This window comes from Homo sapiens, chromosome 13, assembly GCF_000001405.40.
Source record: "Homo sapiens chromosome 13, GRCh38.p14 Primary Assembly".
NCBI classification, from domain to species: Eukaryota; Metazoa; Chordata; class Mammalia; order Primates; family Hominidae; genus Homo; species Homo sapiens.
In genome coordinates, this window is record NC_000013.11 from 95,979,680 (window position 1) to 95,994,594 (window position 14,915).

A 14,915-nucleotide genomic window follows, 5' to 3' on the forward strand; every position below is an offset into this window, starting at 1 on the left:
ACCTTAAATTAAAAAGGACAGCAGAGTTAGCAGACAGCCCAGAGTGGGAGAAAATCTTCACAATCTACACATCCGAAAAAGGACTAATATCCAGAATCTACACAGAACTCAAATCAGCAAGAAAAAAAAATCCCATCAAAAAGTGGGCTAAGAACATGAATTAGACAATTCTCAAAAGAAGATATACAAGTGGGCAACAAGCATATGGAAAAATGCTCAACATCACTAAGTATCAGAGAAATGCAAATCAAAACCACAATGCAATACCACCTCACTCCTACAAGAATGGGTATAATTTAAAAAACCAAAAAGTAACAGATGTTGGCACGGATGTGGTGAAAAGGGAACACTTTTACAATGTTGGTGGGAATGTAAACTAGTACAATCACTATGGAAAACAATGTGGAGATTCGTAAAAGCAGATCTACCATTTGATCTAGCAATCCCACTACTAGGTAACTGCCCAGAGGGGTGGGGGGGAAGTCATTATATGAAAAAGATACTTGCATATGCATGTTTATAGCAGAACAATATGCAATTGCAAAAATATGGAATCAGCCCAAATACCCTATACATACCACGGAATACTACTCAGCCATAAAAAGGAATGAAATGGCATTTGTGCAACCTGGATGGAATCGAAGACTATCATTCTAACTGAAGTAACTCAGGAATGGAAAACCAAACATCATATGTTCTCACTCATATGTGGGAGCTAAGCTTTGAGGATGCAAAGACATAAGAATGATACATTGGACTTTGGGGACTCGGGGGAAAGGGCGGGGGGTGGCAAGAGATCAAAGACTACACATTGGGTACCAGGTACACTGTTCAGGTGATGGGTGCACCAAAATCTCAGAAATCACCACTAAATAACTTATTGATGTAACTAAACACCATCTGTTCCCAAAAAACCTACTGAAATTAAAACAAACAACTGATCAAAGTAGATGGTTTGGGTTTGGCTTGGTTTTTAACTAAAGCCTTTGCGCCCTCTAGTGGGAAGATGGAGCAGCCCAGCATCCACAGTGTGTGCTCTTCAGAGCTGGATGTCGCTTTGGAATCAAGATTCTTGGGAGGCCAAGGCGGGGCAGATTACCTGAGGTCAGGAGTTCGTGACCAGCCTGGCCAACATGGCGAAACCCTGTCTCTACTAAAAATACAAAAATTAGCCGGGTGTGGTGGCGTGTACCTGTAATCCCAGCTACCCAAGGAGGCTGAGGCAGGAGAATTGCTGGAACCCGGGAGGCAGAGGCTGCAGTGAGCCAAGATCATGCCACTGCACTCCAGCCTGGGTGACAGAGCAAGACTCCATCTCAAAGATTCTTCCTGTTTCCTTTTATATTTGTGGGCAGGATGTTTCTTTTATTTATGTATTTATTTTAAACTAAATGTTTCTTATCTCCTCTACTCGAAGGTCATATCCTCTTTATCTCCTTAAGTAAAGCCAGGAGCTCTGCAGTACCCCCAAGTGAGAAAAATTATGCTTAAGACACTTTTGTTGGCCGGGCGCGGTGGCTCACGCCTGTAATCCCAGCACTTTGGGAGGCAGAGGCGGGCGGATCATGAGGTCAGGAGATCGAGACCATCCTGGCTAACGCGGTGAAACCCCGCCTCTACTAAAAATACAAAAAATTAGCCGGGCGTGGTGGCGCGCGCCTGTGGTCCCGGCTACTCGGGAGGCTGAGGCAGGAGAATGGCGTGAACCCGGGAGGCGGAGCTTGCAGTGAGCCGAGGTCGCGCCACTGCACTCCAGCCTGGGCGACAGAGCGAGACTCCGTCTCAAAAAAAAAAAAAAAAAAAAAAAAAGACACTTTTGTTTTAGTTTAGTCCCAGACCCAGAGGAAAATCCTTCAAATTTCTTAAGTAAATCCTTAAAAAGTGTAATTTACACCAGAGCAATTGACCTGGTGTAAATAAACTGCAGCATGAGAAGAAGAAGAAAAAAAGACCATTATTACTTCTTTTTTCGGTGAACATTTTGTTTACATGTTTTGCAGGAAATGTACTTTTCGGTTTGTATGGATGAGATGCTGTAACAGAAACACATTTCCAGGGCTTTCTCGTGTCCAATCCGTGTGCAATGCAATTGCAATGAATAGTCCAAGATTTTCTTACCTTCTCATCACAACCACCCTCTTCCCCAAGGTTGGAACTTCAGTTTCTTTAATTACTTCTCCCACATCTCATGAGCTAGTGGGTAACATGGACTGCTAGTCCAAATACCCATTTAGCCTAGATTAGTTACATGAAAGACATTATCATCCTTGTCTTTCTCTTTTCAGTGTTCTCTGGAAGTAGTAGGTGATCAAGAAGACTATCTGCAGTGTCATGATTATTTAGTTTACTAAATTCAAGATTTCTTGCTCTGCAGTCAAAGCTCATTTCAAAACTCTTTCACTGCCAATTCCAAATGGCTGACAGGTAGATAAGGTGATGGCCATAGTGGCCCTGAGTAAGCTGGCATACTCAGGTTGCCAGCATGGTTCTGATATAGCAGTTAGGAAGAAATTATTTAGGCAGATAGTGAGTCCTCGGTAAGGTTTTCCTTTTAATGAAAAGCCGCCCCCAAATCATTTTATTTTCTAACAAAGAACAGCCTGTAAAATCGAGCTGCAGACACAGGCAAGCAAGCTAGAAGCTTGCATAGGTAAATGCTGGCATTGTGCCAGTAGGAACAGGTTACCTGGGACCAGGCATGTTCAAAACGGCAGCTCCATCTTCCCTTCTTTCCAGTCCACATGTACAGTAAGAAGCAGATAACATGGCAGCAGCCAAGTGGAAAGCCCATATGCATAATAGGGTGGAGTGGTCAGCCTTCCCCATGCATTATGTAAAACATCATACCTGCTCCAACCAATTTGTGGGCCCTATGTAAATCAGACACCGCCTCCTCAAGCCTATTTGTAAAATCCAGTGCACTCTGTAGGCAGCCCGAATTCCCATTCAGGTGCCCCTCTCTCTCATAAGAGAGAGAGAGCTGTTCTCCTTTCTCTTTCTTTTGCGTATTAAGCCTCCACTCCCAAACCCACTCCTTTGTGTGTCATAAGAAAACAATCCATTCTGCATGAAGAATGGTAAGAACAATTAGGAACATCATAGAATGGACCAATACCACAAATCCGTTTTGAAGGATACACAGGAATTTGTAAGGTGGTCAATGAGGCAAAGAATGTCCCAGGTAGGAATGATGTGTTGTGGTTCCTAACACCTGTTCTCCAATGAACTATGCATCTTTTTCTTCATTACCATCATTGTAGTTGTCATCAAAACAGCTGACATTTGTTGACAGCTCACTCTGTCTCAGTATGATGGGCACTGCTGGCTGGCTAAGTTAGCACCATACCCAGGCCACTTCTCCTTTGCTTCGTTATTAGAAAAGTAAACACTAGCTTTTCTAGCTTCCCGCGCAGCCTAAGGTGGCCACATGGCAAAATCCTCACCAATGAGATAGAAACCAGTCTGCTAAAATGTTCCAAGAAGGCTTTAGTGAGGATAAATGTGGTTGGTACCATCCACCCTGCCTCTTTTGGCTTTAAATACAGGTAAGAAGTGAGAAAAATGAACTCCTAGTGTTTAGGGCCCTGTGAGTCTGGTATGATACTACTTAAAGCCAAACCGGTCCTATGTAATAAAGCCAGGCAGTGGTGTAAGCACTTTACAAATATTAACACAACTAGAATTATTTGGGGTCTATGGATAATTTAAGATACCATTTGGCAGAATCTTATCAAACCACTGATAAATTGTATTCTATCTGCTATAGGATTCTACCGTTCCAGTGGTCTAACACTGACTCAGTCTTCACAAGCTTTTAAGCAAAACTAATTACAAGAAACAGAATAATTAACTCACAGCCTTTATTCTTTATCCTATGAAGAAAACCATACTACCTCGGAAGAAATTCTGGAATATACTGTGAAATAAGTAGAAGGTATGTCAGAAAAGATTGGCTGATTAAATGCTCATATAGTCCACAGTATAAAAATAGAAGAACCCAGACTGTTTTAATAATCAAAAAAGCACAAATTACTATTTCCTTTTTTGTATGAATATTGAAGATCCAAAGTCAGAAACAGTGATATTAGTTGGGTAAATGTTTTAAAAAAGGAATTCAAACAAACCTTTTGATTTTCCTTTATTTCTTCTCTCATATGTTGATTTACAGCAATTCTGGTTAGAGATCTGGAAAAATGAATACTAATATAATTGATCCTTCCTTAAATGTTTAGAACTGATCTATATAACCCAATGTAATCTAATACTTTGGATAAGAAGCTAAAAACTCCAAATCCTTTGTGACTGAAAAGTATACATTTCCATATGGCCTAATTTAGCTTTCATTTGACAAAAGTATTTGGTTCAAGTGGAATGGAGGTTCTCAAAATTTCATGTGTACTAGCTGTATGCAGTATGGATTGTCATCATTTACTATGACTTATTTTTTGAAAACACTTCATTGAAAAAGCTGTTTTGCGTTATTTTGCCCAATAGAGAAATTTTGTATGAAATTACCAATGTATAAGTACATGAATATACGTACATGAAGAATTTTTTAGTTAACCTGGGAACCTACCAGAGTAGAAATGTTCTAAAAAACTGAAATCATGGCTTTACATCACTCACTCTTTCAATTTTTTCAATTTGTTTATTAAAAACATTTTTTTAGAGACAGAGTCTCACTCTTCTACCCAGCAGGACTGCAGTGGCATGATCACAACTCACTGTAGTCTCGGGTTCCTGGGCTCAAGTGATTCTCCTGCCTCAGCCTCTCAATTAGATAGGACTACAGGTACACACCACCACATCCAGCTAATTTTTCAATTTTCTTCTAGAGATGGAGTCTTCCTATGTTGCCCGGGTTGGTCTAAAACTCCTGGCCTCAAGTGACCCTCCTACTGCCACCTCCCAAAGTGCTGAAATTATAGGTGCGAGCCATTGCACCCAGCCTATTCACTCTTGAAGAGTTTATAATTCACTTATAATTTAAAGACAGCAGAAGTGTTCAAAATACAGTTCCTATGGACTGTATTCAACTTGATAATTCCTAAACATGACTAGCTTTTACAAATTTTATAAATAGAATTAAAAAATTAAAAGATTGTTAATGCAAAGTTCTGCTTTAAGGAAAACTCAAGTAGAAAGGTGTACCTTGAAACAGCCCACAATAAGTATATATTATTTCCTAAAGTTTGGCAGCATTGTGAGAAATTACAATTAAAAATTTAATAAGGCAAATTTTTCATTTATTTAGCAAATATTTCATTTCAACAAACATTTACAGATTGTCTACCAAGTGGTTTTAGAGATATGCTCAAGCCTACAATTTAGCCATTAAGCAATGTTAGCATATTTTATAATTTTTTCTTAATTACAGATTAACAGCAGAGTTTTGCATCAGAACCTCTGAACAGTTATACTGACTTAGCATCAATAGAGCTAATCAACTGTCTGATCAAGACTAAAGTTATTTTACTTTATTTGTATTTGATCTAATAATTTTTATAACGGCCATTAATTAAAATATTATGGCTAAACAGATATGACATTTATACACACCCATATATATTTCATGTTTTATTATATAAATGACGACTTCTCAAATTCTTGACATTTAAAGTTGACTGAAAGAGGCATATCAATATATTCATTCTTAATCTGTAAATAAGGAAACAAACTCCTTTATTTCAAGGTACCACCAAAAAATCCTTGGTATCTTGTAGCCAACCATGTACTATTTATTTACTTTCAAAATTAAAGAATACATATATTGAAGATTCTGTAATCTGTATGATGAATAAATGTACAAAATAGTGTTTGGGACAATAAGAGGCATAGCAATCATTCTATGCTTAGGAAGGTATGCTAAGCTAGTAGACTGCTCTCCAATTCCTCTCAGTAAAACACCATTGTTGCCCATGCACTGCGACTTGTCACATATTTTATCTCTTTAGTATAAGCTAACTCATATTTTACTTGTTGCTAATTTTATACTCTGTCATCCCTAACCAGAATACAATTGCATCAAAGTTGTGTTATATAGCAAATTCTCATAATACGTGGTAACTTGCATTGCATGCACCGGTCTCTTTAAGCTATGCAAATGTATTTCCTATTGAAATGGAATATATGTTTAATGTAACATCAGTATTCATGGAAGCAGTTCAACGAGACATCCTCTTGGCAAAAAAGTACTCCACACAATATTCATCCAATTAAGACATTACCAATCATTTGGACTCTGAAAGGGTAAGAATATGATTTGGCAGTACTTTGGGCATAGACCTCCTACTTAGAGTAATACTTTTTATCATCCTCCATAAGGGAAAGAAAAAACACTCCTTCATTATTTATTGCTTAAACAAGTTTTTCCTTAGATTACTATGCATGATTTTAGAAAATTTTTTAGGACTTTTTTTCCTATTTGCCTCTAACAAGAGTTCTACCTTACAGTGCATACACACATGTATGCACAAGCCAATATTTTGCTCTAATCAAAAAATATATATATATTGAAAAGGCCCTGATTTCACAAAAGCTATATATACTAGAACTAATTGACACCTTCATGTTAAATGAAATCAGCTATTTTCATAAAACTCATTTAATAGAAAGAGTTATAGCTGCAATGAAACCTATAAACTTTAACATACCTGGCTTTTATGGGGAAGTTCTGTGAAATGTCTTTCATTAATTTAATGGAATCATAAACTGGAGCGGACATTATTTGAGAAGCTGCTTGAAAACTAAGATCTGGAAGGAAAAATATTATTAAGGAATCTAGCATAATATTAGACCTTTATAGACATTTCCATGAAATTGAAATACTTGACTCAATTCTTCTTGCCAAGTATTAGTATACAAACATGTTAATACTGTTACATCTGCATTTTTAAAAAGTTTTAAATGTAAAGTTATCACTTATTTCCAAATATAAGCTTTATACTTTTATGAATGACTATTTAATACCTCTTGTTTCCACAAATTACAGTATAATTTCGAGAGAGATATATGAAAAGAAATGCTCTCGCAAAGCTTTTTCTATACTTAAATGAAACATATGACAAAAAGTCAAAAGAATAATGAAGAGGAGTAAAAAGAGCTTTAAAGAGCCAATTCTGAAAAGACCTCTAAGAAAGCTCCACTGTGTTTAACTCAGTAAATAGAAACATTCAATTTCTCTTTCAACATTGTTTTACCTTTGTGCTGAAATAAAATCCTAAACTTAGTATTATTTTATCTGATATGACAATCCTATAAAAAGAAAAATGTGTGTTGCTAACTGTGGTTAGTTTCAAACATGTCAGAAGAATTCATCTTAGTATTATTACTTTGTCAAGAGTCAGAAAAGATTTAAAACTAAATTCTTTCATTACCTACCTCAACAGTGAGGCAGATTGTTTCTCCTTTAGCTTAAGGACAGGATACTCACCCCACCACTGAACCTAACCATCTGGATATCTTACAATGACTTTAAATCAACCTTTCAACACTAGTCTCATTATTTCTGAGTCCCATATTCAGCCCCAAAGTCTGCTTACATGTTTTATATATTCTCTCTACTCAGGCTCAAGCTAGAAATCCTAGAATTATCTTTGACTCCTTTTCACCTTCTAAATATTTATATGCCTTCTATCACTATTTCAGTAATGTCTACCTAGATTTCTTGCTTTTAGTCCATTGAAATACATCTTACACAGACATTAGGGAGTCAACTAGAACTAAGCTGACTATGCATACTCTTTGCTTAAAGGCCTTCAAAAACACCCCATCACTTATACTTTTCTAAATTATGCAAAGGCCCCTTAGAGAACATTTTGAAGGAGGCTTAAAACATAATTATACTTTTTAAAAAGTGCTAAAATAGAGACATAAAAAAGGATCTAAAAATAATTGAAGATACTAGAAAGAGACTATCTGAAATTATGGATTTAGGAATATAAGCTCTATTAGAACTTAGACAAGAGCTTCACAAACCATGCTAAGGGGTTTAAACTTAATACTTTTAATGGATGTGCATGAAATCAGTCCTTAATGATGCAAATGACTTGGCTAGCTAGTCCTATCAACCCCTTCTTACATTCGAAGTCTCTCCAGAAGTATTTACCTTGGAAAAACAGAACTTTCTCAGAGAAGAGGACTGCATACTTTGTTTGCCCCCCGCATCCACTCTTTCCTGCTCCGGGCCCCCAAAAGGCTGGCCTATCTGAACTGCATCAATAAGCTCCCTTGCCCTCAGATTTCTAGTTAGATTCAGCCAATCCAAGTAACTAATATGGGATCAGTAAGCAAGAAAAGAGTAAGGAGTGGAATAGTTACTACCCAGATCCCTTCCTTGATACACAGAGGACAGTCCCTCGGGGTACTACTGCTGTGTCAAGCAGCTCTCTCGACACACTCTCCAGGTTTTGGTAACCACTCTCTCCTCTTGCTCCCTCAAGATTAGGGGTAGAAAATGTTTCCATCTAGTTGCAAATACTGGAATCGAATAATCCATTCCTTGTTGGTTTCCCTCAATCATGCCTGTCTCTGTAAAAAGTCCCTTTATTAAACTTTTTAGTTTGTGTGTGCCAACATTTTCCTGTGGGGACTAATGTAAGGCCACTATTTGATCAGGGATGTACAAGTGATAAAGCCTGGCTGATTTGACACAAGGCCAAAATCAGATTTTCATTTTAGAAAGATTATCTCAGTAACCTTATTGAGAATGAATTTGAAACTACTACCTCAGTTTAGTGTTATCATGATGTCAAGTGAAAGAACAGTCACAAGGGCTGTGGTATAATAAAAGGAGGTCTAAGCATGAGGTCTAGATGAGACATTAAATAGGAAACTGTACACCAGAAGGGTCCAGGGAGAATAGATTCTATCAGTTCAAAGAGGTAGATTCTTTACAGTAAATCTATCATAACAATGGCCTTGAATCTCATTCTGCTGAATGATTTTTCTATTGATATATTGATTTTCTAATGATACAGGGCTTAGTTGATACAACATTTGTATTAGGTAGGTAAAGAATAGCAGAAGTTATAAAACTTAATAGATTGTGTCTTGCACATTCTGCTATAATTTTAAAATGTAACATTCAATATTCTGTTAAGTGTATATAAAGTTTACCTAGATACCATATGGTACAGTATAAAGAATTTTACTTGGACCAAAATCTTCACTTATTAGCTGTGTGGTAACTGGCACTTAAATAAGATAGTTTATATGAAAGGACTCTGTAAACTATAATCCAGATGAAATATAAAATATTATTTGTATGTTATAAGTAAGTTATACTAGTGAGAGTGGCCTGTAAATATCCTTTTAGTTGTTATTTTAAAAACAGAAAGTAGATTGGTGGTTGCCTACAACTGGGGAGTTGGGAAATGAGGAGTGACTGCTAATGAGGGTGTTAGTTTTTTGGGGGGATGATGAGAATTTTCTAAAATCAACTGTGTTAAGAGTGGCAGCATTCTAAAAATATGCTAAAAACTATTGAATGGTAGAATTTAAAAGGGCAAATTGAATAGTATGTGAACGTATTAGTATGAATAGTATTATTATAGTAATGTCATTATTTACATCACTAATGTCTATAAAATAATCTATATCATCTGAGATATAAAAGCTTATTTAACAAAAGAGCTTATTAAGCTGTTATATTTTTAAAAGTTGATAAAAGATGACAAAAGTTAGATTATGCAGAAAGATGACATGTCCCCATGACCTACTAAATCATTACAAATAAAGAAGAAAAATTATAAATTGAAAAGTACTTAAAAGTTCAAACCAAATCAAATTTTGTTCACAAAATATCTGCTTGTAGGTTTTCAGTACAGAAGCTGTTCCTAACTTTGTAAAACTGCATGTCCTCCATTTGATGTTTCCATTAAACATTTATCAATGAAACATGCAATAGTCTTAACAGGATCTAAATTTCAAAAAGAAGAAAACCAAGATTAAGTTTCATTTTCTCCTTACCTAGGAGTTAGGACTTTTAATCAGTTATAGTCTCCACAAATGTGATTTAATACTTGAGACTAACCTATAAATCAGTATATACTTTTGAAATAACATTGAATAACCTCACTTCATATAATTTTAAGTCTTGCAAATATAAAAATATAGCTTGCTTGAGGGATGATCTGTTAAATAGGTATTGCCACAAAAAATCATAATTTATATTATTCACTAGTCATTAATACTGTCCATAAAATAATCTATATCATGTGATATATAAAAGCTTATTTAACAAAACAGATCAGTTACCAAAATGCTGTGTTAAAGTATCTCAAAATACTATACCTTGTAGTTCCCAGACTTTCAAAGGCATCATTTGTTTGTTACTCTCAATCAGGTATTTTTGGAATGCTGTCAGATTATCTCTAAGATCTGAATATATTTCTCTGCATCAAAATATTAAGTGATGTTAAGTAGCATCACCTATCACAAACCATTATACAAACAGCATATTTTTGAAATTACATATTCCATGTAATTAGACATAAATGAATCATTCATCATTAAGATAATCATAAATTGTGATACAGCTATATTCACGGAACTTAAAAATAATGAGGAAGATATACAGGTCTCTTTTATTAAATATATGAAACAAAACAAAATCTGGAGGAATATACTCTCAATTGTTAGTGTCAACTGTAAGCGATGCAAGGATGAGGGCAGACTTATGTTTTCATATTACATACTTTTTGTTTAACATTTTATAAATTGCAAGCCTTGCTTTTATAATTGAAAATAAAAACTATAAGGAAAGTCAAAAATGCCTCATACAATCAGAGTTTATTTCTGAAAAGTTCCATCTTTGATTCTTATAAAAAACTAAAATAAGATAATTTTACCCATTGTTAAACATCTCTAGGCATCTTTTAGAGAGCCAAATAATGATGTAGTAGAATGGTATTTTACTATACACACAATCTAAACTGTAATCTTCTTTCCTCTATCACTCATGAAATCAAGACATGGTGCCATTTCAGATTTAAATGGAGAAATACAATTTAAAAAAGTTACTATCAGCACAACTTACAAAATACATATTTTCATTTTATTATACTTTAAGTTCTGGGATACATGTGTAGAACGTGCAGGTTTGTTACACAGGTATACACGTGTCATGGTGGTCTGCTGCACCCATCAACCCGTTATCCACATTAGGTATTTCTCCTAATGCTATCCCTCTCCTAGCTCCCCACCCCCGACAAGCCACGGTGTGTGATATTCCCCTCCCTGTGTCCATGTGTTCTCACTGTTCGAGTCCCACTTTTGAGTAAGAACATGTGGTGTTTGGTTTTCTGTTCCTGTGTTAGTTTGCTGAGAATGATAGTTTCCAGCTTCATCCATGTCCCTGCAAAGGACATGAACTTATCCTTTTTTATGGATGCAGAGTATTCTATGGTGTATATGTGCCACATTTTCTTTATCCAGTCTATCATTGATGGACATTTGGGTTGGTTCGAAGTCTTTGCTATTGTGAATAGTGCTACAATCAACATACGTGTGCATGTGTCTTTATAGTAGAATGATTTATAATCCTTTGGGTATACACCCAGTAATGGGCATTGCTGGGTCAAATGGTATTTCTGGTTCTAGATCCTTGAGGAATTGCCACACTGTCTTCCACAACGGTTGAACTCATCTACACACACACCAACAGTGTAAAAGCCTTCCTATTTCTCCACATCCCCTCCAGCATCTGTCGTTTCCTTTTTAATGATTGTCATTCTAACTGGTGTGAGATGGTGTCTCATTGAAAACACGTATTTTCAATAGTCAATAGACAAGCCTTTGAAAAGTGAAATAAAAAATACAGAATATACATAAATATGGTAATCTTATAGTTACGAATAAATATATATAGTACAGTGTCAATATCTTACAGGTTTACTACAATGTGGGATCATGTTTTGAAAACAAATCAAAATTGCTATGATAATAAAAGTACAATGGCATTTCTTTCTAAAAGAAGTTCACTATGAATTAAGCAAACATTTCCTTTTTCAATATTTTTAAGTTATCAGATTATAAGTTTATAAGAGCTACTATACCAATTTTCATATTTAATCATCATCTTAATAACTTTCACTGCTAAAATTCTTTATATAATTTAGGCAACATATATATTATTCATAAAGTACCTCAAAGGATTTTTGCTTTGAAATGAGCAGTCACTGAGTCACTGTGGAAGACTAATTTTGAGTATTCCCTTTTAAAAATGAATAGCCTTGGGAGACCGAGGCAGGCGGATCACGAGGTCAGGAGGTCAGGAGATCAAGACCATCCTGGCTAACATGGTGAAACCCCATCTCTACTAAAAATACAAAAATTAGCTGGGAGTGGTGGCAGACGCCTGTAATCCCAGCTACTCAGGAGGCTGAGGCAGGAGAATTGCTTGAACCCGGGAGGCAGAGGTTGCAGTGAGCCGAGATGGCTCCCCTGCACTACAGCCTGGGTGACAGAGCTAGAGCTAGACTCCGTCTCAAAGAAAAGAAAAAAAAATGAATAGCCATATGAATTTTAGAATAGATTCCTCTAATTCTGTGAAAAATGACATTGGTAGTTTGACAGGAATAGCACTGAATCTGTAGATTGGCAGTATGGCCATTTTAATGACATTCATTCTTCCAATCCATGAGCATGGAATGTTTTTCCATTTGTTTGTGTCAGCTATGATTTCTTTCAGCAGTGTTTTGTAGTTCTTGTGGAGATGGTTCACCTCCTTGGTTAAATGTATTCCTACATACTTTTTTTGGTGTGTGGCTATTGTAAATGGGATTGCCTGCTTGTTTTGGCTCTCAGCTTGAACATTATTGGCTTTTAGTAATGCTACTGATTTCTGTACACAGATTTTGTATCCTGAAACTTACAGAAGTTGTTTATCAGTTTTAGGAGCCTTATGGCGGAGTCTTTAGGGTTTCCTAGGCAAAAGACATGAACAGACACTTCTCACAAGAAAACATATAAGCAGCCAAGAAACATATGAAAAAATGCTCGACATCACTAATCATCAGAGAAATGCAAGTCAAAACCACGAGATACCCTCTCACGCCAGTCAGAATGGCTATTATCAAAAAGTCAAAAAGTAACAGATGCTGGCAAGGCTGCAGAGAAAAGGGAATGCTTATATGCTGTTGGTGGAAATGTAAATTAGATCAGCCACTGCAAAAAGCAGTTTGGAGATTTCTCAAAGAACTTCAAACTACCACTCAACCCAGTAATCTCATTACTGGGTATTCACCCAAAGAAAAATAAATAATTCTGACAAAAAGACATATGCACTCATATGTTCATCATAGCACTTATTCACAATAGCAAAGACATGCAATCAACCCAGGTGCCATCAATGGCAAACTGGAAAAAGACAATGGGATACATATACCACCATGGAAAATCCTGCCCTTTGCAGCAACATGAATGCAGCGGTAGGCCATTATCCTAAGTGAATTAACACAGGAACAGAAAACCAAATACCCTGTGTTCTCACTTATAAGTGAGAACTAAGCATTGGGTATACACGAACATAAAGATGGGAATAATAGATACTGGGGTCTATTAGAGTGGGAAGATGGCAAGGGCTGAAAAACTACCTGTTGGGTACTATGCTCACTACCTGGGTGATGGGATCATTCATACCCCTAACCTCAGCATCACAAAATATATCCATGTAACAAACCTGCACGTGTATGCCTTGAATCTAAAATAGAAGTTGAAATAAAATAAAATTAAATTAAAATTAAAATAGCCCAGTGTTCCACGTGATCTTTTGGAGAAAATGCAATTTAATCCCATAAAAAGTTATATTCAAAAGAGAAAAGAACTATAAATTCCAAGATGTTGAGATAGCTGAAAATGGGATAAAAATGTATTGTTAGCTGCTAAATAAATACCTTACTTAGAATAAAACCATTTTGTAAGCTGTATTAACATTTTAAGGCCACTAGAGTATACTGACTGGCCAACATACTTTAAAAATGTAACATAGTTATCCATATAAATTAGCATAGTCTCCAAAAATCTTATCCTTACTGTCTATAGTTATCTACTCATCACCAGGAGAACCACCCTGAGAGTCCTTCATAAATGACTGTAATACTAAACAAGAACTAAAGGTGTTAATAAAAATATTTCTTTAATTAATTTTGCCTGGATAAAGAAATCATAAACTTTCACTTGTAAATAAGGGAAAATGTACATGAAATTACAGCCATCCCCATTCATGAGTATTCATAGAGCACTCACCATGCTATTCCTTGTCTTCAATCAGCGTGGCAGGAAAAAAAGGGGGGGGTATAACTTTAATTTTTGAAAGCTTACTTATATATGTATATGAAATGGTAATCTGTAGTACAGAAAATTTGAGTAATAAACGTTTTCTTTTCTTTGGGGCTATACATTTGTTCAAGCTAAAGGTCCAATATTATCAATGATTTTTGTAACTCATTAGATCAGTAAAGTTCTAGATTCTATAAAGTTTTTAGTTTTCTGTCAGAACTTTATCAACTCCTGTTTCTCTAAGCACACTAAGTCAAATTTATCATATGAAAAGTGATTTTAAGTATCTCATACTTTATGAATGTCAGATGTATTAGAACTCCCTAAAAATAAAGAAACCAATATAATAAAGAGGAATATTTACCACAGCTTGCCAAGTTAATTTATTAAAAAACAGTAAAAATAACACTGAGTTTAAAAATAGTAAATATTAGCTAACATTATTACAATATTTATTTTAAAAAATAATGATTTACTTAATTTTTTTCCTCAAAAGAAATTCAATTTAGGCAGTTTTTTCTTGGCAGCATTTTGTGAAACTATTTTAATAAATAATAACTTAATAATTATAATTTTCATTTATTTTATTCATGTTTAACAAACACATTAATGCTTATTATATTCCATGAATTGTT

At 35.5% G+C, this 14,915-nt stretch overlaps 1 protein-coding gene across 13 annotated transcripts in view; it reads right to left on the reverse strand.

Annotated features, from left to right (window-relative positions):
- UGGT2 (UDP-glucose glycoprotein glucosyltransferase 2) overlaps positions 1 to 14,915 on the reverse strand; it is a 251,822-nt gene that overhangs the window by 178,100 nt on the left and 58,807 nt on the right. For 9 of the 13 annotated variants that reach the window (XR_931617.2, XM_047430471.1, NM_020121.4 and 6 more), the window contains exons 8-10: positions 10,294 to 10,394; positions 6,654 to 6,753; positions 4,125 to 4,185 (exon numbers count right to left, since the gene is read on the reverse strand). Coding sequence is in view for 11 of the 13 variants with exons in the window: in XM_047430471.1 (XP_047286427.1) it covers positions 4,125 to 4,185; positions 6,654 to 6,753; positions 10,294 to 10,394 (262 nt within the window). In the remaining 2 variants the exon portion in view is untranslated. Of the gene's footprint in view, positions 1 to 4,124; positions 4,186 to 5,559; positions 5,650 to 6,653; positions 6,754 to 10,293; positions 10,395 to 14,247; positions 14,266 to 14,915 lie in introns of those variants that run through there. The other 4 variants (XM_047430472.1, XM_047430473.1, XM_011521099.3 and 1 more) reach the window with 4 other exon arrangements.